The sequence below is a fragment of the Homo sapiens genome, chromosome 13 (genome assembly GCF_000001405.40).
Source record: "Homo sapiens chromosome 13, GRCh38.p14 Primary Assembly".
NCBI classification, from domain to species: domain Eukaryota; kingdom Metazoa; phylum Chordata; class Mammalia; order Primates; family Hominidae; genus Homo; species Homo sapiens.
This window is the reverse complement of record NC_000013.11, coordinates 20376360-20399592: the sequence shown is the minus strand read 5'-3', so window position 1 is coordinate 20399592 and position 23233 is coordinate 20376360. Positions and strand designations below refer to the sequence as shown.

General features: G+C 47.2%; 3 annotated features.

The window, feature by feature from the left end:
- Positions 6998–7505: an enhancer, noted in NCBI's record as "H3K27ac-H3K4me1 hESC enhancer chr13:20966227-20966734 (GRCh37/hg19 assembly coordinates)". NCBI's record gives its function as "activates a minimal SCP1, AML or CMV promoter by ChIP-STARR-seq in primed H9 embryonic stem cells {active_cell/tissue: H9 hESC(primed)}" and the evidence as "EXISTENCE:reporter gene assay evidence [ECO:0000049][PMID:30033119]".
- Positions 7506–8014: an enhancer, noted in NCBI's record as "H3K27ac-H3K4me1 hESC enhancer chr13:20965718-20966226 (GRCh37/hg19 assembly coordinates)". NCBI's record gives its function as "activates a minimal SCP1, AML or CMV promoter by ChIP-STARR-seq in primed H9 embryonic stem cells {active_cell/tissue: H9 hESC(primed)}" and the evidence as "EXISTENCE:reporter gene assay evidence [ECO:0000049][PMID:30033119]".
- Positions 18557–19756: an enhancer, noted in NCBI's record as "BRD4-independent group 4 enhancer chr13:20953976-20955175 (GRCh37/hg19 assembly coordinates)". NCBI's record gives its function as "activates an origin of replication core promoter dependent on BRD2, P300/CBP, MED14 and CDK7 cofactors, and independent of BRD4, by STARR-seq in HCT116 cells {active_cell/tissue: HCT116}" and the evidence as "EXISTENCE:reporter gene assay evidence [ECO:0000049][PMID:35650434]".

Here is a 23233-nt window from a genome sequence, read left to right as displayed (position 1 = left end):
CTTCAAAGAGGTGAATACTGCTGATTTTGCCACAGTTCCCTTATTCAATATATGTGTTTAGAGCAAGGACTATGTAGGCGTCTGAGGCTACGGAATTGTGTCGACCTTGACCATGACAAGTTCACAGTCTGGTGGGGAAGATGCATACATGAAGAGAAAAGCATAATTTAAAGCTGCAAGTGCAACCACAGAGCCATGCACAGGGTGTCCTAGGAGCACCCGGGAATGGCCCTGGGCTGAGCCTGGTGGGTGACAAGGGCTGTCAGGGGGTGTTTCCTAAAGTAGGTGATGTCTCAGTTGTCAATCCAAAAAGAGAGAGGAAAAGCCTAATAGAGGTGAATTCCTACAACCTAGAATAGCATCAGGTCCATAGAAGGTGCTAAAGAAATAATTGTTGAGGTCAGGCATGGTGGCTCACGCTTATAATCCCAGCACTTTGGGTGGCCAAGGCGGGTGGATCACCTGAGGCCAGGAGTTCGAGACCAGCCTGGCCAACATGGTGAAATCCCATCTCTACTAAAAGTACAAAAAAAATTAGCCGGGCATTGTTGCGGGCGCCTGTAATCCCAGCTACTTGGGAGGCTGAGGCAGGAGAATTGTTTGAACCTGGGAGGCAGAGTTAGCTGAGATCGCGCTGTTGCACTCCAGCCTGGGTGACAAGAATGAAACTCTGTCTCAAAAAAAGAAAAAGAAAAAGAAAAAAGAAATAATTGTTGAAAGAAAGAATGAAAGGGCATAGGAGGGAGGAGCTGCAGACGGCAGAAAAGCGCATTGTGATCGGGGTGGCCTGAACCTCCAGCCCTGGCCCCTTAAAGGCGACGCTCTTTGTGTGTGTCTGGAAGATGTCCCACCCCGCAGGGCTTGTGCAGCTGGCTCACCTTCATCCTGTGCTCATTTCATTTCATGTCGTCATGGTTTACCTTCATTATGGGCGTCACCCTGAGACCAACCTCACATCTAAGTGCAAAGGGCAACTGAAGCACTGATTAAACCCCCAAGCCATACAGCCGTCAAACATTTTCTAGTTCTGTTGGCTTCCTCCTAGCCTGGCTGACATCAGAGACGTTAGCACAGTCCACCAGGCAACTGAGAGGAGGATTACAGGCCCTTGGGTATCTGTCAACATGGCATTGTCTCTTCAGATCTTTCTCCATACCATTTTGCTTGTATTACTCTCTCGTTTATGTAGGCAAAAGCTAGAAATGTCTACAAACAGGTTACCAAATATCCTGTATGTAAATATGGCACAAAATATCATCATTGGTGAAGCTTCTACACATAGCAAAGGCATCTAGAGAAGACTAAGCCATCTTCACACAAGTGTCTCAGGCACAGAGTGGCAGTCTGAAAGCCTGATAAAGGGACTTGAGTCCAAGGACTCTGCGTTTGTCCTCTTTGCATCCCTGGTCCTGAGCCCCAGAGCTGTTCATAGCAGGTGCCCAGCAGGATCTAAGCGCAAGGCCATAGACACAGGTGGAGCTCCCAGTGAGCGGAGGGTGGTATCCCTTTGCCAGGCTGATGGGCGTGGGGAAACTGCCCACTTGTAGCACCTTGGAGGATGGGGCAGAATGGAGGGGGCTTCAAGCCCACACCTGAGTGTAGATCATGAGTGTGAAAGGTGTTTTCCTCAAGTGGTAAAGGCTGCTGACACTGGAGCTTTTTTTTTTTGAACGGAGTCTCTGTCATCCAGGCTGGAGTGCAATGGCACGATCTCGACTCACTGCAATCTCTGCCTCCCGGGTTCACGCCATTCTCCTGCCTCAGCCTCTCGAGTAGCTGGGACTACAGGCACCCACCACCATGCCCGGCTAATTTTTTTTGGTATTTTTAGTAGAGACGGGGTTTCACCGTGTTAGCCAGGATGGTCTCAATCTCCTGACCTCGTAATCCGCCCGCCTTGGCCTCCCAAAGTGTTGGGATTACAGGCACCAGCCACTACGCCCAGCCTGGAGCTTCTTACTGAAGGAGGAGATTGTGTACTAATCTCTCGGCACCTTGAAAATAGGTCAGTTTAGAAGAAAGAGGGCATTGGCCTGTCACATAAGGAGAGTCAGCCATTAGCTTACATATGAATATTTATGTGGAAAACACCTGGAAGAAAGCACACGGAAATGTGAAACCTGCTTATTTTGGGGCAATTCTGATTTTCTTCTTTATGGTTTTCTTTATTCTGTCACTATCACCATAAGCATATGTTATTTTTATATCAAACACCTTGATGCTTTTACATTGAGCTCTCTCTATCTGCTGTGGGGACGTCCGTGTGGCCATGTGCATGGAGATGACCTCTGGGCCCTCTGTCGACTGGTTTCATGTGTTTGACAGGCCCCAGCATTTGTAAGTTGTAAGTTGTCCAGTGGCCCAGTAGAGCCAGGCAGGTTGTACACCATTGAGAGCCCAAGCATCTTGACGCAAAGCAGATGCTGTCTCTGTACAGAGTTGTGCAGTCCCTCCCAAGATCTTTCTGCATGTCCACTAACTCAAAATTGCAATCACCATCTCATTGCCATCTACCACCACCACCACCATTACCATCACTATCACCACCACCATCACCATTCCCACCACCACCAATACTGTCATCACTACCACCACCACCACAACCACCATCACTACCACCACCAACACCACCATTATCATCACCATCACCACCATCAACACCCCTACTACCACCAATACCATCATCACTACAACCACCAACACCAACTTTACCATCACTATCACCACCAACATCACCACTACCACCACCAATACCATCATCACTACTACCATGATGGTAGTACTACTACCACCATCAACACCACCACTACCACCACCATTACCATCACCACCACCATCACCACTGTCACCATCACCACTGCCTACTCTTCAACAGTTACTGATCTACTGTCCAAAGTCCAGGGGATACTGTGTGAAACAATACTGATCAGAGGTAAGTGTCCATCAGAGAATGCAGCTGATGATGAGACAGTATGCAGCTGAATGTCTACTCCATGGTGGGTGGCTGGGAAAACCTCTGAGATGTGAATGACAAGGAGGATCTAGCCCTGTGTGGTTCTGGAAAGGAGTGATCCTGGAAGACAGTGTGTTTCGAGCCCAGGACCCGAAGTAGGAGCCTCACCCGGTGCAGGAAAAGCCAGAAGGCAGCATGGGCATTGGGGGGGGATGGACAGAGAGAAGGCTGGAGAGGGACCTGGGCTAGATCTTCTGGGACTTTGTAAGGTTAGGTCAGAATTTAAATGCAGAAGGAAGCCCCTGGAGTGGCATGATTTAATTGACTTGCATTTTGAAAAGATGACTGGCTGCTGTGTGGAGTCAGAGGTCAGCAAATTTTTCCCATAAAGGTCCAGATAGTGGAGCACGTTAGGCTTGTGGGCCATCCTGTGTCATGGAGTGTGTGTTGCAACAACTCAACACTGCCTTGTAGTCCAAAAGCAGCCATGGGTAACGTGTGTGAATCAGCGTGGCAGTGTCTGTTCCAATAAAACTTGTGTGTGGACAATGAAACCTGAAGTTCATACAATTTCCACATATCACCACGTGTTGTTCTTTTTATTTTTCCCCCAATCCTTTAAATGTAAGCCTATTCTTAGCTCAAGGATGTGCAAAGGTAGACGGCAGGTGGGTCCTGATCGCGGAAAGGACCGAGGGAGGCAGTCTGGGCACAGGGAGGGGGTCGGAGAGATCCAGGCTGTGGCTGGTGTGGACAGAAGGGAGCACAGAGGGTCCAGGAGTGAAGGTGGACGCAACAGAACTTATTGATGGTTCTGATGTGGGACGTGAGGGAAGGAGAGTGAAATGCCTCATGACACCTTCGTCATCCAAGTTGCAAGTCAGACCAGACCTGCGTGCCACCAATGATTCAGCATTTGGAGTGGGTGAAGGTTAAACTGCTGTCTTGAGCTTATGACAAAAAAGGGCTTCCGGCCTGTGAAAGGTGGATTGCCAAGGGCTGCCCCAGGGACACGTAGGGGCTAGCAGTGGTTGGAGAGTCTGACCCTCGGCTAAGGCACATCCTGCAACCTCAGCTCCAAGTGCACGGCTCAGGCCTTGTCACAAACTCTGATGCAAGGACACCTCTGAGAGAGCAGGGGGAGGAGCGCCCGTCATTCTACCAAGCAGACGAGATCTGTCCCCTTCAGGAGAGTGGGAAATGCGGTGTGGCCAAGAGGACACGCAGCATGCACACATGGCATGATGGTGTGCACACGATGACACCAGAGTGTGTATCTACACACGGCACGGTAGTATATACACAATGGCATGGATTGAAAATGAGTATCACACAACTCCCCCGTGAGTCGGCTGGCTCTTTGAGAAGCAACCAGGAGGCAGAGATGACCAGCTGAGGCTCTGGGCCAGACTGCCTTCGCTTGGGTTCTGGGGCAGCACATGCTAGCAGGTGGTCCTGGGCACATAGCCTAGCTCTGGGCCTCATTTCCTCTGATCCTAGCACCTCCTGGCGGGGTTTGAATGAGATGATGGAGAGCGTCGTTACTTCAGTGTCTGGCCGTGTGAACAGCCGCCGTGGACAGTGGATGAACCACAGTGAGAACGGCATGAGGCGGGAATGCCCGCGGAGGCGCAGGTGCTCACGCACCGCAGACACCTCCCTATGGCCTTTGAGTCCCTCTCAGCTAAGTAAACGATGCTGGAGAGTGCTCTTCCCAGGAAGGGTGCCACGAGGTCTCTGCACAGCGTCGCTGCCATAGAGGGCCCAACTCCGGACAAAGGGAATGGAACAGGAAGAGGAATTCTGACGGGGTCTTTCGCCTGCTGGGGCTGCTGCCCCACCGTGCAGTGCCACGCCCGGGAGGCTCAGCCCGCAGAGAACTGCTTCTCACGCCATGGGGCTGCGAGCCAGCGTCAGGGGCCGGCCGGGCTGCTCTCGGCTTGCAGGCGGCCTCTTCCTCGCCGCGTCCTCACAGGGCCTGTCGGTGTGTGTGTCCGCGCGCGCTCAGGCCACCAATCCTTTCGAATGAGGACCCCACCCTAAGACCTCGTTACTTCCTAAAATCCCGACCTCCAAATGCAGTCACTCGGGGCGTTAGGGCTTCAACATATGAATTTGTTGCGGCTCAGTCCACAGAACCCCTCAAAGAACGGGAAGGGGAACCCTGCTCAGCCCAACGCGATCTTGTCCCTGCCGCATCCTCCGAGGGGAGCATTGAAGCGATTCAATGTGAGTGTGGTGTGTGATATGTGTGTTTCGTGTGGTGTGTGTTTTGGTTGTGTGTGATGTGTGTTTTTGTGTGGTGTGTGGTGTATGTGTTTAGTGAGTGATGTGTTTGTGTATGTGCAATGTGTCTGTTTTGTGTGTGGTGTGTGTGAGTGGTGTATGATGTGTGTATGTTTTGTATGTGGTGTGTGATACGTTTTTGTGTAGGTGTGTGTGATATTTGTGTGTATGTATATGTGTGATGTCTTTTTTGTGTGTGTATTGTGTGTTCACTGTGTGTGTTTGGTGTGTGCGAGGTATGTGTTTTGTGTGTGGTGTGCGATATGTTTTTTGTGTGTGCCTTTTTGTGTGTGTTTGCTTGTGTATGAAATGTGTGTGTGAGGTGTGTGTAGAGTGTGTGACACACATGTGGTGTGTGTGAGGTGTGTGATATGTGTGTTTTGTGTGTGGTGTGTGTGATTTGTGTTTGTGTGGTGTGTGAGGTGTATTTTCTGGGTTTGTGTGGTGGTGTGGTTTGTGTTTTGTGCGTGAGGTGTGTGTGATATACATGTGATGTGTGTGTGAGGTATGTGTTGTGTGTGGTGTGTGATGTTTTGTGTGTGTGGCTTCCATGTTTTTGCTTGTGTGAGAAGTGTGTGTGTGGTGTGTGTAGAGTGTGATATGCGTGTGATGTATGTGTGAGATGTGTGTGATGTGTTGTGTGTGTGGTGTGATGTGTGTGATGTTTTGTGTGTGTGGTGTGTGAGGTGTGTTTTCTGGGTGTGTGTTTTGTGTGTGGTGAGGTGTGTTGTGTGTGTGATATGTGTGTGAGGTGTGTGGGGGTATGTGAAGGGTGTGTGTGTGAAGTGTGTGGTGCATATTGGGTGTGTGTGTAGTGTGCGTGTGAGGCGTGCGATATGTGTGTCATGTGTGGTGTGATATGTGCAAGGTATGTGGTGTGTATGAGGTATGTGGCGTGTGTGTTGTGTGTGATATGAATTTTTTTGTGAGTGATGTGTGTCTTGTGTGAGATGTTTGGTAATGTGTGCGTGGTGTGTAATATGTTTTTGGGTGTGGTGGTGTGTGTTCTGTGTGTGGCTGTGAGGTGTGTGACTTGTGTGTCATATGTACTTTGGGGTGTGGTGTCTGTGCGTGTGTGAGGTATGTGTGATGTGTGTGGTGTGTGTTGGCTGTGTGTGGTGTGCGTTGGGTGTGTGTGACGTGTGTGGTGTGTGATGCATGTGAGGTGTGTGTGATGCATGTGAGGTGTGTGTGATGTGTGTTTTCTGTGTGTGTGTGGTGTGGCTGGTGTATGATATGTGTTGTGTGTGGTGTGTGTTGTGTGCGTGGTGTGTGGTGAGGTGTGTGTGATACGTGTGTTGTGTGGGTGTGTGTTTGGTGTGCGGTGTGTGAGATGTGTGTGGTGTGTGTAATATGTGGGTTTTCTGGGTGTGTGTGGTGTGTTTTGTGTGTGTGATGTGTGTGACGTGTGTGATATGTGTGTTTGGGGTGTGTGGTGTGTGTTGGGTGTGTGATGTTTGTGTGTGTTGGGTGTGTGAGGTTTGTGTTGTGTGTGATAGCGTTGATGATGTTTGAGGTGTGTGATGGGAGTGTGTGTGAGGTGTGTGATGAGTGTGTGAGGTGTGCCATTGTGTGTAATGTGTTTGAGATGTGTGAGGTGTGTGATGGGTGTGTGTGAGGTGTGTGTTGGGTGTATGTGACGTGTGTGTGGGACGTGTCTGAATGTGTAATATGTGTGTTTTTTAGGGGTGTGTAGTGCATGTGATGTGTGCAGTGTGTGAGGTGTGTGGGGTGTATGTGTGTGATGTGTGTGTTGGGTGTGTGTGTGAGGTATGTGTGATGTGTGTTGGGTGTGTGTGAGAGGTGTGTGGTGTTTGACGGGTGTGTGTGAGGTGTGTGGTGTGTGTTGGGTGTGTGTGTGGTGTGTATGTGAGGTGTGTATTGGTGTGTGTGTATGTGATGGGTGTGTGTGTGAGGTGTGTGGTGTGTATTGGGTGTGTGTGTGTGGTCTGTGTGTGATATGTGTGTGTGGTGTGTGGTGTGCGGGCGGGCGCTGCGGGCTGGCGTCCGGGGCGGCGGAGTGGGCGCCCTGTGGTCAGGGGTGGTGGCGCTGCGCGGGCCTGGGCGCTCTGGGGTCCGGGGTGGGGCTGGTGGGCCCTGGCCCCTCTGCGGGTCGCTGGGGCTGCGCGGTGCGGGGCACTGCTGGCTGTGGCGGGCGCCGCGTGTCCCGCCGGTGCTTGGACTGCCCCTGCCTTTGCGCGGGCCGCTCGGCGAATGCCTGCGACCCTCCGAGGCCAGCTTTCCGTGGGGTCGGCTCGGTCCGGGTGGACGCGGAGAGCTTGAGGCCCCGGGGCAGCTCTAGGACTGGGCAGCCTCCAGGCGCGGGGGAGCAGCCCATGCACCGGTCAGCACCTTGTCCCGGGACCCTGCGGGGCTGAGCTCCCTGCGGTGAGAGGGGGCGCAGGAGGCAGGACAGAGGGGGACGCGGCTGAACGAGACCCTCGTTCAGCCAAGGAGGCCTCGGGCTGGCGAGGAGATGGCCCAGCGGGACTTGAGAGGCCTTTGGGCTGCACAAGGGGGCGTGCGCATCGTCGGTGCCTCCTGAGAGGTGAAGCCAGCCAGGCAGGGGTGATGCGGGGCAGCGTTGCGAGAGAGGGCAAGTCTCTGGAGTCCAGAGAAGGAGGACCAGGAGGACGCAGGAACATTCCAGGCCTGGCCCCAGCACCGACCCGACCTGTTCCGCAAGGTGGTGCCTCCCGGTGCAGTGCGCCCAACCCCTCCGGCTGACTGCGAGAGTCCTCTTCCTGCCTTCCGCTCCACCTCACCTCCCTTCCCTGCCCACCCCTCGCCTCCTTTCCCCACCCCGACCCCTCGCCTCCCTTCCCCTCCACCCCTCGCCGCTCTCCCCTCCTCCTTGCCTCCCTTTCCCCCCAACCCCTCGCCTTCCTTCCCCCTACCCATCGCCTCCTTTCCCCAACCCCGACCCCTCGCCTCCCTTGCCCTCCAACCCTCGCCTCTCCCCCTCTTCCTTGCCTCCCTTCCCCCCCAACCCCTCGCCTTCCTTCCCCACCCAGACCCCTCGCCTCCATTCCCCCCACCCCTCTACTCTCTCCCCTCCACCTTGCCTCCCGTTTCCCCCAACCCCTGTCCTTCCTTCCCCCCCAACCCCCCGCCTCCCTTTCCCCCTACCCCTCGCCTCCCTTCCTCCCCATCCCCCTCGCCTCCCTTCCTCCCCATCCCCCTCGCCTCCCTTCCTCCCCATCCCCCTCGCCTCCCTTCCTCCCCATCCCCCTCGCCTCCCTTCCTCCTTGCACCCCCTGCCTCCCTTCTTCCCCCAACCCCTTGCTTCCCTTCCCGGCTTTCCTGAGCCAGCCTTAGCAGGGAGGAGCCTCGTGACTGCAAGCCTGGTGACTCCTGCGCCCTGCTGGCTCCACTCAGCTTTGGCTTCCCCGTAACCCTTTCCAGGGCTGCCTGGCCTGAGGCTCTATCTCAGTTTCCCTGACTAGTTCCACAGGATCATGCAGGCCTGGACTCTGCTCCATCTGGGACCCAGCTCTGGCTGACCTCCTTTCCCTGCTCCCACCAGGACCACAACTGGGCCTCGGGAGTCCCTTCTCGCGTGGGCCGTGCCTGGAGCGCCAGTCTGGACTGTGGCAAGGGGCACGGGGCCCTCTTGGCAGCCTGCTTGGGGCAGCGCGGCCCGCCAGCGCCTCTGCCTGAGGCTCTTCCAGCCGCTTCCTGTCCTGACCACAGCGGAAGGTGGCCCCCCAACACCCTACCCCCCACTCAGCACAAGCCCACGCCCAGGCCCGCAGGGCCGCCCATGACCAAAGGAGGGCCGGGGTACGTGGCACAGGCTCCCCTTTTTGTTCTCCGAGGACGAGTCTGGGACGCCTGGCGAGGCTCCTCGGAAGGCTCCGTGGGCTCAGCACTGGTCACAGTCTGGCTCTTCACCCTGCTCCATGCCAACATCTCCAACAAACTTCCTGCTAGAAAGCCTGGGTGGGCTGAGGGGACCCAGACCCAAACAAGAACCTTCTTCCCCTCGCCCCTTCTCATCTCTTTTGCAAGGGCAACCTGAGTGACCTATAACCATGTGTGTCAGGTCCCACCCTTTGCTTAAAACCTCCCTGCGGAGGGAGGGGCAGCCCTTGGTCTTAAAGTGCAACCCAGACTTCCCCTGGCCGGCGAGACCCTGCAGATCCCCCTGCCAATTCCCTTCTCCAGCCACTCTGGCTGTGTTCTGGGGATTCTCTCGGCCTGGAACATTCTCAAGTAGCTGGCCCCTCTTATCTTTAGGTCTCTGCTGGAATGTTCTCTCTCTGGAAGGGCCTCCAGGAGCCCCCCACTCCAGGGGGCTCACTGAAATTCTCCAGCAAGATAGCCTGTTTATTTTCTTCTTGGTGCTTATGAAACTCTTTGATGTTTGTTCACGTGGAATTTTTCTGACTCTTCTCTGGAAAATCAGCTCCACAAGGGTGAGAGCCTCCTCTGTTCTGTTCAAGTGCTGTCTCCTTGCATATGTTAATATTAAATAACATTAAGACAGCCACATGTGGACAGCAGGAACCTATGGGATAGATCAGATATAAAATGTTTCTATCACGGCAGAAAGTTCTATTGGGCAGCGCTGATTTGCCTCAGATTCTTGAATGAAGCAATGACTCAACAAGTGACCCCAGCGTCCCTACAACTCATGCTCACCTGCTGGGTTGAGATTAGGCTCTGGGCTGCGGACCCCAGGAGGTTTTCTAGGGCTAAATTTAACCAAGTTCGAAAATGACACACTGCTCTTCACAGCAAATGGAGAACTGAATATATTGCCTTATGTTTAAGGTGGCTCTGGACAGGATTGATTCCCATGTCACAATGAGAGGCGAAGCCAGCTGGACTTCCTGGGTAATGTGGGGACTTGGAGAACTTTTCTGTCTTACAAGTGGTTTGTAAAATGCACCGATCAGGCCAGGCATGGTGGCTCATGCCTGTAATCCCAACACTTTGGGAGGCTGAGGCGGGTGGATCACGAGGTCAGGAGATCGAGACCATCCTGGCTAACATGGTGAAACCCTGTCTCACTAAAAATACAAAAAATTAGCCGGGCTTGGTGACGGGCGCCTGTAGTCCCAGCTACTCGGGAGGCTGAGGCAGGAGAATGGCGTGAACCTGGGAGGCGGAGCTTGCAGTGAGCAGAGATGACACCACTGCACTCCAGCCTGGGTGACACAGCAAGGCTGTCTCAAAAAAAAAAAAAAATGCACCCATCAGTGCTCTGTAAAAACGCACCAATGGGTGCTCTGTAGCTAGCTAGAGGTTTGTAAAATGCACCAATCAGTGCTCTGTAAAAACGCACCAATCAGCACTCTGTAGTTAGCTAGAGGTTTGTAAAATGGACCAATCAGCACTCTGTAAAATGGACCAACCAGCAAGACATGGGCAGGGACAAATAAGGGACTAAAAGCTGGCCACTCCAGCCAGCAGCGGCAACTTGCTGGGGTCCCCTTCCATGCTGTGGAAGCTTTGTTCTTTTGCTCACAATAAATCTTGCTGCTGCTCACTTTTTGAGTCCATGCCACCTTTAAGAGCTGTAACACCGCGAAGGTCCACGGCTTCATTCTTGAAGTCAGCGAGACCACAAACCTACTGGAAGGAACCAATTCCGGACACAACAAGGATGCCTGGCACTCTGCTTGAAAGTCCCTCCTGTCCAGGACATCTGTCCAGGACATCAGTCCAGGGTTCAGGGAAAGTAGCAGACTTGGGGAGGGGAGGAAAGGGAAGGGAGAGACAAAGGAGGGAAGAAGCAGAGAGGAAGGGCAGTGGGTCCCAGGTGCCCTTCAAGTTCAGCTGGTGGCCTTTGCTTTTTTTCCTTGGTGAAGAGGTTAGCCTCCTCTGGGGAAGGTGGTTTGTATTTGGCTGCAGTAGGGCTCCTTCTGTTCACTTTCCCTTAGCCTTGGTGTTTCTGCATTTTTTAGATCTCTAGGCCCAAGTGTGTTAGATCACCGCCCCACCCAGCATACTGACTGAGAATTCAATTTCCTCCCTAAAAGTCTGGCTCCTTTTGGCCCCATAGCTCCCTAACCAAACCAGGGGAAGGCTCTGGGACCTGGGCCACACTAAAGCCAGCCTGGCCTTTCCTGGGCCCAGCGTGGGGGCTCCCAGCCAGCCTGGCCCACAGGGCACTGGGGTTCCTGCCCAGTCCTGTGCTCTGGGCTGACATTCTTTTTTCCCCCCATGTGAAGATCTGAAATGATCTTCTTACCTTTTTGGAAAAATTGCCTTCTAATTTTGTGTCCTCAGATAAACCATGCTACTTTTTCTGTTTTGTTTTGGTTTTGTTTTCACCCGAATAATTCCCAGAATAACTTCACTTCTACTTTCTCTCTTTTATTCCAGGAGCTGGCTGTAGAAAAGTATATATTAGATGAAAATTTGTCTTAGGCCTCTTGTGAGGATTAATCTAAGAGGCTCCACAGAGGAGTGGTTGTGGTCAGAAAATGTTTCCTCTTCTGCACTTGGTATTTTTGTGTAGAGGCTAGAAGACTTGTGAATATTGTGAAATACTAGAAATACAGGCCACCAGGTGCAGTCCGGAATCCTTTCTTGGGGGCATGTCTCTTTTGGGTCGGCTTGGGTTAGGAGGCTGCTGGTATGTGATCTCAGAACATTCCCAACAGCCTCTGCTGAGTCCATGTGCCAGACACAACTAAAGGGGAAGAAGGTAATGCCTTCCCCATGTCAGAATGCCCAAATCCTGCTCAAGCTTCCCGGCGCCACTTCCCTGTTGAAGCCTGCCCCGTCCCTGCCAATTTCCTTGAAACTCTGCTTGAACTTACATGCATCACGTCTCCATCCTGCCCAGCAGCCACGGTGCTCTTGTTTCCGACTCCCCTAGCTGACTGCAAATTCTTTAAGGGCATCAGTCATTCTTGATTCATCATCTTGTTTCCTGTAGCATCTAGCACTAAGCAGGTTCTCAGCAAATACTTGTTAAATAAACCTATGATCAGGTATCTTAACTTCTACCAAGGCCAAACAAACAAAAATGAATCTATAAAAATCTTAAAGGCAGAGAGGAGATAAAACAAGATTGTGAGAAAGTACTGGGCCACCATCTGAAAAACTCAGAAAGAGGATACTGTTAAGCAAAGAAGCTCCCCAGAGCAGCGGGGCAAGTCAGGTCAGCTCAAAGCCAACCCGGGGCGGGGGTGCTAATGCCCAAAGAGCGAATGGTGTTGGCGTCAGTAAGAATAATAACTGCAGAACAGAAAATCAAATACTGCATGTTCTCACTTCTAAGTGGGAGCTAAACATTGAGCATACACAGACTAGAGTGGGGAGTGGAGGGGAGGAGAATGGGGAGCATGGGTTGAAAAACTACCTGTTTGGTACTATACTTGCTACCTGGGTGATGGCATCTCTACCCCAAACCTCAGCATCATTCACTGAATTAGTCTGTTTTCATGCTGCTGATAAAGTCGTGCCTGAGACTGGGCAATTTACAAAAGAAAGAGGTTTAATGGACTTACAGTTCCACCTGCCTGGGGAGGCCTCATAACCACGGCAGAAGGAAAGGAGGAGCAGGTCACATCTTACATGGATGGCAGTGGGCAAAGAGAGAGTTTGTGCAGGGAAACTCCCATTTTTAAAACCATCAGATCTCATGAGACTTATTCATTATCATGAGAACAGCATGGGAAAGACCCTCCCCCATGATTCAATTACCTCCCACCAGGTCGCTCTCACGACACATGGGAATTGTGGGAGCTACAAGATGAGATTTGGGTGGGGACACAGCCAAACCATATCACTCACTATACCCGTGTAACAAACCTGCACATGTGCACCCTATATCTAAAATAAAAGTTGAAATTTTTAAGAAGGAAAAAACCCTGCAATTTATTAAAGCACAACTAATGTGTAAAAAATCCATGAGTTTATAATGATGCTGATGCATTTTAAAACCTCATTGGTAACCTTTGGAGCTGTTATAGGCTAATTCATTACTCAGAAAAATTGCAAACAAAGAAAAGGACTCAAATATTTAACCTGCTTTTCTTATATGCAACATGCCTCAGGGTAACCAAACAGTTTAGGAGGCCATAGTTTTCTCTATGTATTCAAGCTAATAAATTAAGAATGATGGAATTACACATTTTACCCACTTTTTGCAAAAAACTCCTAATGCACAAATAAATCTAGAAAATGAGAAAAGGCTGCTAGCATCACACACATGCAGGTGTGTGTGCACATACACACATACACTACCCACTAGGATTCCATAGTCACTTGAAAGACAAGACCATATTATAAACAACTTATATATATCAACTAAATAGAAAATTTGGAAAAAGAGGGATAGTTTCCTAGAAAATATAATTTATCAAAATTCACTCTAAAAGACAAAATAAAAAAACACGAATGGTTCTACAACCATTTTTTAAAAACTGGATGAATCATCAAAAGCCTTCCCAAAAGGCAAACATTAGGCCCAGATGGGTTCTCTGGAGAATTATATCAACATTCATGAAAGGACTAATTTCAGTCTTATATAAACCATTCTGGATAAACTTTATAAGGCTAGATAACCTTGATACCAAAACCTGATAAGGACTGTATAAGAAAATAAGATTTTCTGCCGATTTCAGTACAAAAATACTAACAAACCAAGCCCCATAATGCATGAACAGAGTACTGCATCAACACCAAGTTCACTTTATACTACAGATGCAAGGTTGGCTTAACATTAGAAAATCGATATATATCTTTTACTACATTAGCACATAAAGCAGAAAAAAGATTATCTCAATAGTTGCAGGAAAAGTCTTTCATAAAATTCCCCTGCTAAACCAGGAGTAGGCAGGAACTTCCATAAAGAGATCAACAAAAACCTGGAGTAAATATCACACTACAGGGTGATGTGTCAGAAGCATTCGCCTTGAGATTTACAAAGAAATAAGGCAACTACATCTATTCCACATTTTTCTGCAGATCCTACCAAGAACAGTTAGTCAAGAGGAGGAAATAAAAGATATAAGAATTGCAAAATAAGGAGCAAAGTTGTCCTTATTCAATATGGTATGATTATGTGCATAGGAAATCTAAACAATTTACAGATACATTTTAGAATGAATATGAATGTTTACCAGGTTTGCTGGATATGAAATCAATACACAAAAATCAACTTGTATTTACATAAAGAGCCACAAATGGAAAATGAAGCAGAATAGGTATTAGTTGTCATAGCATCAAACGACGTGAAATTTCTAGGAAAAGGCAAGCTAATATATTGCCTTTTTTATTATATTATTTTTTATTATATTATTAAAATTATATACCATTATTGACAGATATTAAGAAGACTTTAATATGGAGATATATACCATGTTCATGTATTAGAAAGCTCAGTATTGTAATGTCAATTATCCCCAAATTATTCTTATAGATTCAGTGTCATACAACGTGTGTGTGTATGTGTAACTTGCTAAGTTGCTTCTACTTTTATTTAGAGATTCAAAGGTCAAGAAAAGCAAAACTTAGCCATGCGTGGTGGTACACACCTATAGTCCCAGCTACTAGGGAGGCTGAGGTAGGAGAACCGCTTAAGCCCCAGAGGTTAAGGCTGTGGTGAGCCGAGATCGCATCGCTGCACTCCAACCTGGGTGACAGAGTGAGACCCCACCCCTCAAAAAAATTTTTAAAAAGAAAGAAAGAAAAGACAGGCAATTCTCTTTAAAAAATTAGTCAGTTTTTGCTCTACCAGATATATGTATTACAAAATTTTAGTAAGATGGTGTAGTTTTGGTGTGAAGATCACTGGAATAGAACAAGGGGCCCAGAAGCAAATTTAAGCAGATGCACACTTAATTTATAGTCAGGATGGCATGAAGGAATGAGAGAATGGGTATCTATACAGAAAAACATAAAATTAGACTCCGTCATCCTACCATACACAAAACTGGCTATAGACCTTCGTGTGAAAGCAAAACCATGAAGCATTTAGAAGGAAATGTGGAATATTCTTACCTTCATGAGCTTGAGGACAGGTTCCTCTTAGCCAATATACCAAAAACATGAACAGTAAAGGAAAAGATTTATAAGCTTGGTTATGAAATTCTGTTCAGCCAAAGATATCATAAAGAGTGTGAAAAGACAAGCCCCACAGTGGGAAAAGATAGGAGTTAAGTTCAGAATTATAAAAACAACTGGCCGGGCGCAGTGGCTCACGCCTGTAATCCCAGCACTTTGGGAGGCCGAGGCGGGTGGATCACGAGGTCAGGAGATCGAGACCATCCTGGCTAACATGGTGAAACCCCGTCTCTACTAAAAATACAAAAAAAATTAGTCAGGCGTGGTGGCAGGCGCCTGTAGTCCCAGCTACTCTGGAGGCTGAGGCAGGAGAATGGCGTGAACCCGGGAGGCGGAGCTTGCAGTGAGCCGAGTTTGCACCACTGCACTCCAGCCTGGATGACAGAGTGAGACTCCGTCTCAAAAAAAAAAAAAATCTTCTGCAAACATATTTTAAAATAAAAAATGAGGAGAGTGTTTCTAGAGCTATCAGCATTCTATGACTTGACTTGGGTGGTAATTTCACAGATGTGTTTGCCTTTTAGTTTTTTATTATCCTAAATATGCATTTATGTTTTATGAACTTTGTGGCTTGTATCTTACACAAAAAGTATTAAGAGTATGTCTATGGCATTTAAAACACTTTTTACTATGGAAAATTTCAAATATACACAAAGGTAGAAATAATAATGTAACAAGCTGCATGCACCCCTCATTCAGCCTCTAGCTTTACTACCCATCACTATTTCAACATGACCTCACCTCCCGTCCCTCTGACGCCCTCTCTGTCCGGGGCTTTTGGCCATCAGGACCCACCCTTCTGCTGTGCCGTCCACCCCTTACACATCCTCATGAACCCTCCCTTCCCCTCTTTCTGCGTGCTCTTTTCCCTCTGGAAACTAGTATCCATGTATTATGCTAAGAAAATGGTCTTAACAAAGTAAGAAAATATACCGTTCATAAGAAAAGCTTACAACTTGTTATGAGTTAACTTTTGAAAGCTAAGCCAGCAGTGCTTGTATAATATGAGGACTTGAGAAAACTGTTTCTGACAAACCACCTGAACTAGGCATCCTTCCAAGTAATAGGGCTGCTGTTATTATTGTGCTTAAGAGAACAATAATAACAGTCCTTTAAAAAATGCTTACTGCACTCAGATATTCTCTGCAGCTGAATAAACTACCCCTTGCTGTGCACATCGGGAAGCTACTTACATCCTTTAGGCAGATGGGGTGACATTTAATTCAGTTTTACCAACAATTAAAGATTTCTCTATGTATAGATATATAGGTAGATACAGATCTCTCTATATATGCCTGTCTCTATACCTGTCTATCCATGTATCTATCTATCTACCTACCTATCTAGTTAGATCAATAGAACCACTTTTCCTCCTTCCCAATACACAATGAAAAAACTTGCTTGCTTGCAATGAGGTGTTTTCAATTTGAAAACCACAATATTTTTATTATGTTTGACATTTCTATAAGAAAATTTGCAGTTTTCAAAATATACAAATAGGGTCTTTAAACCATATTACCAAAAGCTATACATACTAGGTTTTCTAGCTTCAGAGTGTTAGTTCCACCACAGCATAGCTCTGATCCTAAAATACTGCTTGCCTTTCCTGTATATCTACAATTGAAAACCTACCGAGATGCTATAGAAGACATGTATCTCAACGTTAAAGTTATTACTTTGAAAATAGTATCTAAGTTGCTATGGCAACTGAACTCTATTTGTTGATAAACCTTCTTTTCTTGTTCTATACCATAATACAACCAAGATCACCCCATTATTAGATTATAAGTTATAGACTACTGGAATCAGGAGAAACTTTTTCTTTTTTTTCCCGAGATGGAGTTTTGCTCTTGTTGCCCAGGCTGGAGTGCGGTGGCATGATTTTGGTTTGCTGCAACCTCCGCCTCCTGGGTTCAAGCGATTCTCCTGCCTCAGCCTCCTGAGTAGCTGGGATTACAGGCGCCCGCCACCACATCTGGCTAATTTTTGTACTTTCAGTAGAGACAGGGTTTTGCCATGTTGGCCAGGCTGGTCTCAAACTCCTGACCTCAGGTGATCCGCCCACCTTGGCCTCCCAAAGTGCTGGGATTACAGATGTGAGCCACCGTGCCCAGTCCAGAAGAAACTTAAAAGATCAGAATACCCTATGATGTGTAGTGCTTTATGGTGTTATCTAAGATCTAATTTGTCTTCACAATTACTATTCCCACTTTACAGGTGGAACGAAGATATGGATCACAGAGCTAGCATATGGTGAAGCTGGATCTAACCTCTGATTTCCTTGCCCCTCAGTAATAATAATTACCATTTTATTGAGCATCTGCTATGTTTCTGACCCACCTGATGACGGGGCTCTTTATATACATCATAACCCTGAAAGGAGGTAATTTCATTATCAGTTTTGCAAAGGAGATCAGAACACCGATCTGTTAGGCTTCAAAGACTATTTTTTCCCTCTACGATTTTCTGAATTTCCCTCACTTTTACAATAAATATAAGTGTGTTTCCATTACAAATAACCAGGCATCCTAGGGGAAGGGAAACAGCAAAGAGCTGAGAACATCACAAACGGTGTTCAATAGTCCCAAATAGCCTTTCATTTACAACTGAACAACTCATAAATTGGCTTTTCCTTTCTATCAGCCAAGGCCTATGCTACTGTGAGTGGATTCTTCGCTGCAAACAGATAACATCACAGCCTAATTCTCAGGAATTGCTCTCAGGAATTCAGCATCTCTTTACAGTAGATGCAGCATTCTTGCTCAGATTCCTAAAATCAAGTCTTGGTAAGTAAAAGAGTGAGAAAGGGAAAGACTGAATGAGGTTGCACAAGAATTTGTTCCAATGTTGCTAGTTCGAAGATTACTTCTTGTTGATTTGTCTATGTTGCAGAATATTTTAAAATCACCATAAGGATAAGGATTTTTGGACTTCATGTTCCTATCCTGAGAATTGCCTGTGCCCTTGTTTTATTCAGGCCCTACACTTCCATTCCCATCAACACATTGATTAACTTAAAAGGAAACGCTGTCGACTTCAGGAGGATAATAGTCGGAAAGATGAGTTCGATTGTAGCTCAAAACGGGCAAGCACTGTACTTCATGAGTTTTCAGGATCACGGCTTTCTTGGGGACTGAGGCACCATGACTGTAGGGATGAACAGTGACTTTGTGGGCAAAGCCTCAGAGAAAATTATCTCCACGGATGATACTGTTTGCCTTTTATGGCAGAGAAAGTGTTCCTGGTAGGTTCTGTGGTTTACGCAGTCCTAGGTATTATATAGTTACATGGAACTGGCGCTCGACCAAATGAAAGTTTGGTGGGCACTGAGCTTGGTAGGGCAGCTACTCTCCAGATTTAGGTCATCCAGGGAGAAACGCATAAATAACACTGGATGTGTCGTGGCCATGAAGGATGGGAAAATGAATGCTCTGGTTCCCAATAACTTTGTGTTTCAGGAAACAGCACGTTAAATGAGCATTAAATGGGTTAGACGAGGGGTGGGCCAGAGAGAGTGGTAGGGGCAAACTCCACTTTGGTATCTGTATTCATTCCTTAGGGCTGCCATAACAAATTCTGCAAAACTGGGTGACTTAAAACAATAGAAATGTATTCTCTCACACTTTTGGAGGCCAGAGTCCAAAATGAAGGTGTCAGCAGGGCCACACTCCCTCCAAGGAGAACCCTCCTGCCTCTTCCAGGTTCTGGTGGCCCCAGCCGTTCCTTGGCTTGTGGCAGCAGCACTCTAGTCCCTGCCTGTGTCTTCAGGTGGCCTTAACCTCAGGGGCTGTGTCCCGTCTCTCTGATCTTACTATGCCTCACTCTTATAAGGACACCTGTCATTGGACTCAGGGCCCACCAGGTAACCCAGGAGGATCTCATTTTGAGATCTTTAATTATATCTGTGGAGATCATTTTTCCAAATAAGGTCACATGCACAGGTTTGGGGGCTTAAGACAAAGACATCCCATTCTGGGGGGCTACTACTTAATCCACTACAGTATCTTCTTTGCCATGTACTACATTGCGTGACTGCCGACTCACAAATGATTACCCCCTCTACATCTCATTTCCTCATGTGTAAAGCGGGGCCATTGATAGGACATGTGTCTTGGATGGCGTGAGAGCAGATGAAAGCGTGGATTCCAGGCGTTCAGCACAGTGACTGGCATGGATTGTAGCAATCATTATGATCATTATGCAACTCCTGCATTACTTGTGTATAAAAACATTTTATTTTAAAATGTCCAGTGAGTGGACTGGACTGATTACCTATTTATTGCTGGGCACCTGTGGAATGTTTTGTATACATTTTTCTCTAATTGTCCCATCCTGTCAGAGTAAGTCATATCATTCCCAGTTTTGGAGGGGGAAGCTGAGGCTCTGCAAGACTGGGTAACTTGCTCAGTGTAGAAGAACGGTACCTTATACCTTCACTTTCAAGCCACTGGTGGCCTGAAGCCATTGGAGAGGCAAAGTCATGAAACAAATTCTGAGACTAAACTCTGCCAGACTCCCTTCCAAGCAGGCAGGTCCTACAGCAGGAACTCACACAGAAATATCTCTGGGGTGGGAGGAGTGTCCTTCAACTCTGAAACACCCCAACCGGGCACCAGCGACAGCAGCTACGTAGTCCCAGCACAGATCTGGGGTATCCATCGATTCCAGATGAATCCAGGGGTCCAATTTGTGTGAGGGGATCTTTGCACTTAGGATAAATGGGCCCTGACGACTTCACTCTTGGGCTGGACGAGTGGGCCTGTGGGCCTGAGAACAGGGCTTTGGGGGGCTCACACCCCATGCTTTTCAGGTATGAGCCGATGGTCTACAGGTAATCAGGATTTGTTGATTGCATAAAGTTTGATACTGACATTCATTGTTTTTTTCTGAGTCTGTCCTACATGTTCATTATAGAAACTTTGGAAATTTTTTTCATACAAGTATGAGAAGTATAAGGGAAAGAGAAAAGGAAAAAGGAATCACTTATAATCTCACCACCCCAAATAGCTAGTGTTTATATGGTACGTTTCTTTCTGGTCTTTGTGTGTGTATATAATATACACAAATACATGTGTATTTTTACCTTTAGAAACTAAAATAAGCAGTATGTAAAATTTTTATTTTTATTTTCTTTCTGGACCAGTGTTACATTTGAACGTATTCTTTGTCTTTCTCACTCAGTCATTCAATCATTTATTTATTCAGCAAGTGAATGTGGCATGTCTCTTCTTGTCTAGAGCTTCTCTGCAGAGACTCAGAGGCAGGTGGGCACTAGAAAGAGCTTGAGAGGGGCCCTGGTAGTGGGGAGAGAGCTCCAAACCAGTGGATAAACTGGAGGCTGCCGCTTGCCAACCTCAGACATCAGCAGGAGATGCCACAGATGCCCTGGCCGGGGACCAGGCCAGCCACACCCTGGGACAGCACAAGCCCAGAGCCACGTTCCCCACTGGGACATGGGCGTGTCAGGCCCTACTGCGTGCCCCACAGCACACTTAGAGAGGAGCAAGAATCAACAGATGGATGCACTCACCTGAGCTATGCAAGCAGAGACTGAATTCTCTAAAGAGATGGCATAAATGACGGGGTTGAGGCTGGTTCATTACCAGAGGGAGGAAAATAAAAGCCTCTCTCCAAATGACTCCTCCCACAGTTTTCTAGCACGGAGGGTCTTGTGAGGAAGCCCAGCTCCATTGCAGACAAAACACTTTGCATTTTCTTTGCACATCTGCATTTGTGATCTTCACTACATGTTCATTAATTCAAATACGTATTTACTAAGGGCCTGCTTTGCGCCAGGCAGTGTGCTGGGGTGTGCAGGATAAGAAAAGGGACATGACTCCTGCCCTCCTGGAGCGCACACTGCAGGATTGGCAACAGATATCAATCAAGTGATCATAGGAACAAATACACAATGACAAATGGAGAAGTGCTGGGACAGACGAGGACAGGGCCTGAGACAGCACACAGTGGGGGACTCACCTAATCTGGGGGACTCAGGAAAGACTTCCCCGAAGAGCAAAAAGCTTGCAAATAAGTAAGCTGTGTGATGAGGTGGAAGGGGAAGGGGCCAGGCACAAGAAACAGTTTAGTGATGGCTGTGGTGGGAGGGAGTAGAGCTGGTTCAGAGAATGAAACAAAGCCCAACAGTGAGTGGGGAAGGGAGGAGGTGCCCCCCAAGACCTAAGGGGAGACAAATTGCACACAGGCAAGATGTTGTGGCCAGGCTAAGGGTGGAGACTTTAACCTAAGGACAGTGGGATCTGGTGGACAGCCGTCGGCCAAGGTCAGACTTACACTTTCATCGTTCACTTTGTCCACCAGGGCCCAGAGAGATTGGTGAGAGCTGAGCCAGGATGATGGAAGCAGGGAGCCTGGGAAAGATTCCAGCGCAGGGTCCAGGAGACAGCAGATGGTGGCTTGGACGCAGGGTGGGGTGGGGACGAGAGAAGTGTAAAGATCAAGAATGTCCTTAGGGGAGTAATTAATAGGACTTGGTGGTGGACTTGGGGGAGAGGGAGATGTCAGAGATGACTTCCAGGTGTCTGCTGAGAGTAGTGGATTCAAATTTCTGTTCTGCCACTGATCAGAGGTATAGTCAGAGTTGGGCTGCATATTTCTGAGTTCGTCTAAACTAACTAAATAGTCCATCATGATAGAGATGTTAACTCCTCTTTTATTTTCTTTTTATAAATTGAGATGTATCATATATACACTAAAAGACACAGATCGTAAGTGTTCAGTTGGATAAGTTTTGAAAAATATATACAGCTTTCTAACTGTAGGCCAAATCAAGATATAGAATATGTCTATATATTTCTGTATAGAACATTTCCATTTCGCTCCTGAAGATTCCCACGCGGCCCTTCCCAGTGAATACCACGTTCTCACCTGCATGCAAACATTGTTATGATTTTTTTCCCTATAGATTAATTTTACATGTTCTTGAAGATTCACACAAACATAAAAATACATTATCCATCATCTTTGTCTTGTTCCTGATCTTAGGGGAAAAGCATCCCATCTTTCCCCACGAAGTATGACGTTCATTGTAGGGTTTTTGTGGTTGCCCTTTATCAGGTTGTGAAAGTTCGTTTGTACTCCTAGTGTGCTAAGAGTTTAATCAAGAATGGATGTTGGATTTTGTTAAATGCTTTTTCTGCATCTATGGTTACATCTGTATTATCCTTTTACATACTATTGAATTTGATTTGCTGTAACTTTTTAAAAGAATTATTGCACTTACGTTCATGAGAGATAATGGTGCATGGTTGTTTTGCTTTCTTTCTTGTAATGTCTTTGTCACTTTTGGTGTCAGGGTAATGCTGGCCTCATAGAATGATTTGGGAAATAGTGCCCCTCTTCAATGTTCTGCAAGGGTTGGGGTAGGATTGGTCGTATTTTTTACTTGAATGTTTGGTAGAATTCACCAGCGACACCACATAGGCCTGGGGTTTTGCTTGTGAAAATGTTTTGAATAAAAAATTTCATTTCTTTAGTAGAAAAATGGCTATTCACATTACTTATTTCTTCTCTAGTTTGCTTTGATAGTTTGCATCTTTCAAGGGAATTATCTATTTCAATTAAGTTATCTAATTTATTGGCATGAATAAATATATTCCCTAATTAATTCTAGAAAAAGCTATAGAATCCATAGTAATATCATCTCTGTAATTCCTGCTATTATAATTTGTATCTTGGCTCTTTTTTTCTGCCTCATTTTGGCTAAAGGTTCATCATTTTTATTAAATAACCAGCTTTTGGTTTCACTGATTTTTTTCCTATAGTTTTTCTATTTTTTTAAATGTTTTTGATTACCAGTCTGAGTTCTATTTTTTTCTTTCCTTTCACTTACTCTGGGTTTAACCTGTTTTTCTTTTTTTAGTTTCCTATGGTGAATGGCATATTTTATTTAGTTTTATTTATTTTATTTTGAGACAGGGTCTCCTTCTGCCGCCCAGCCTGGAATGC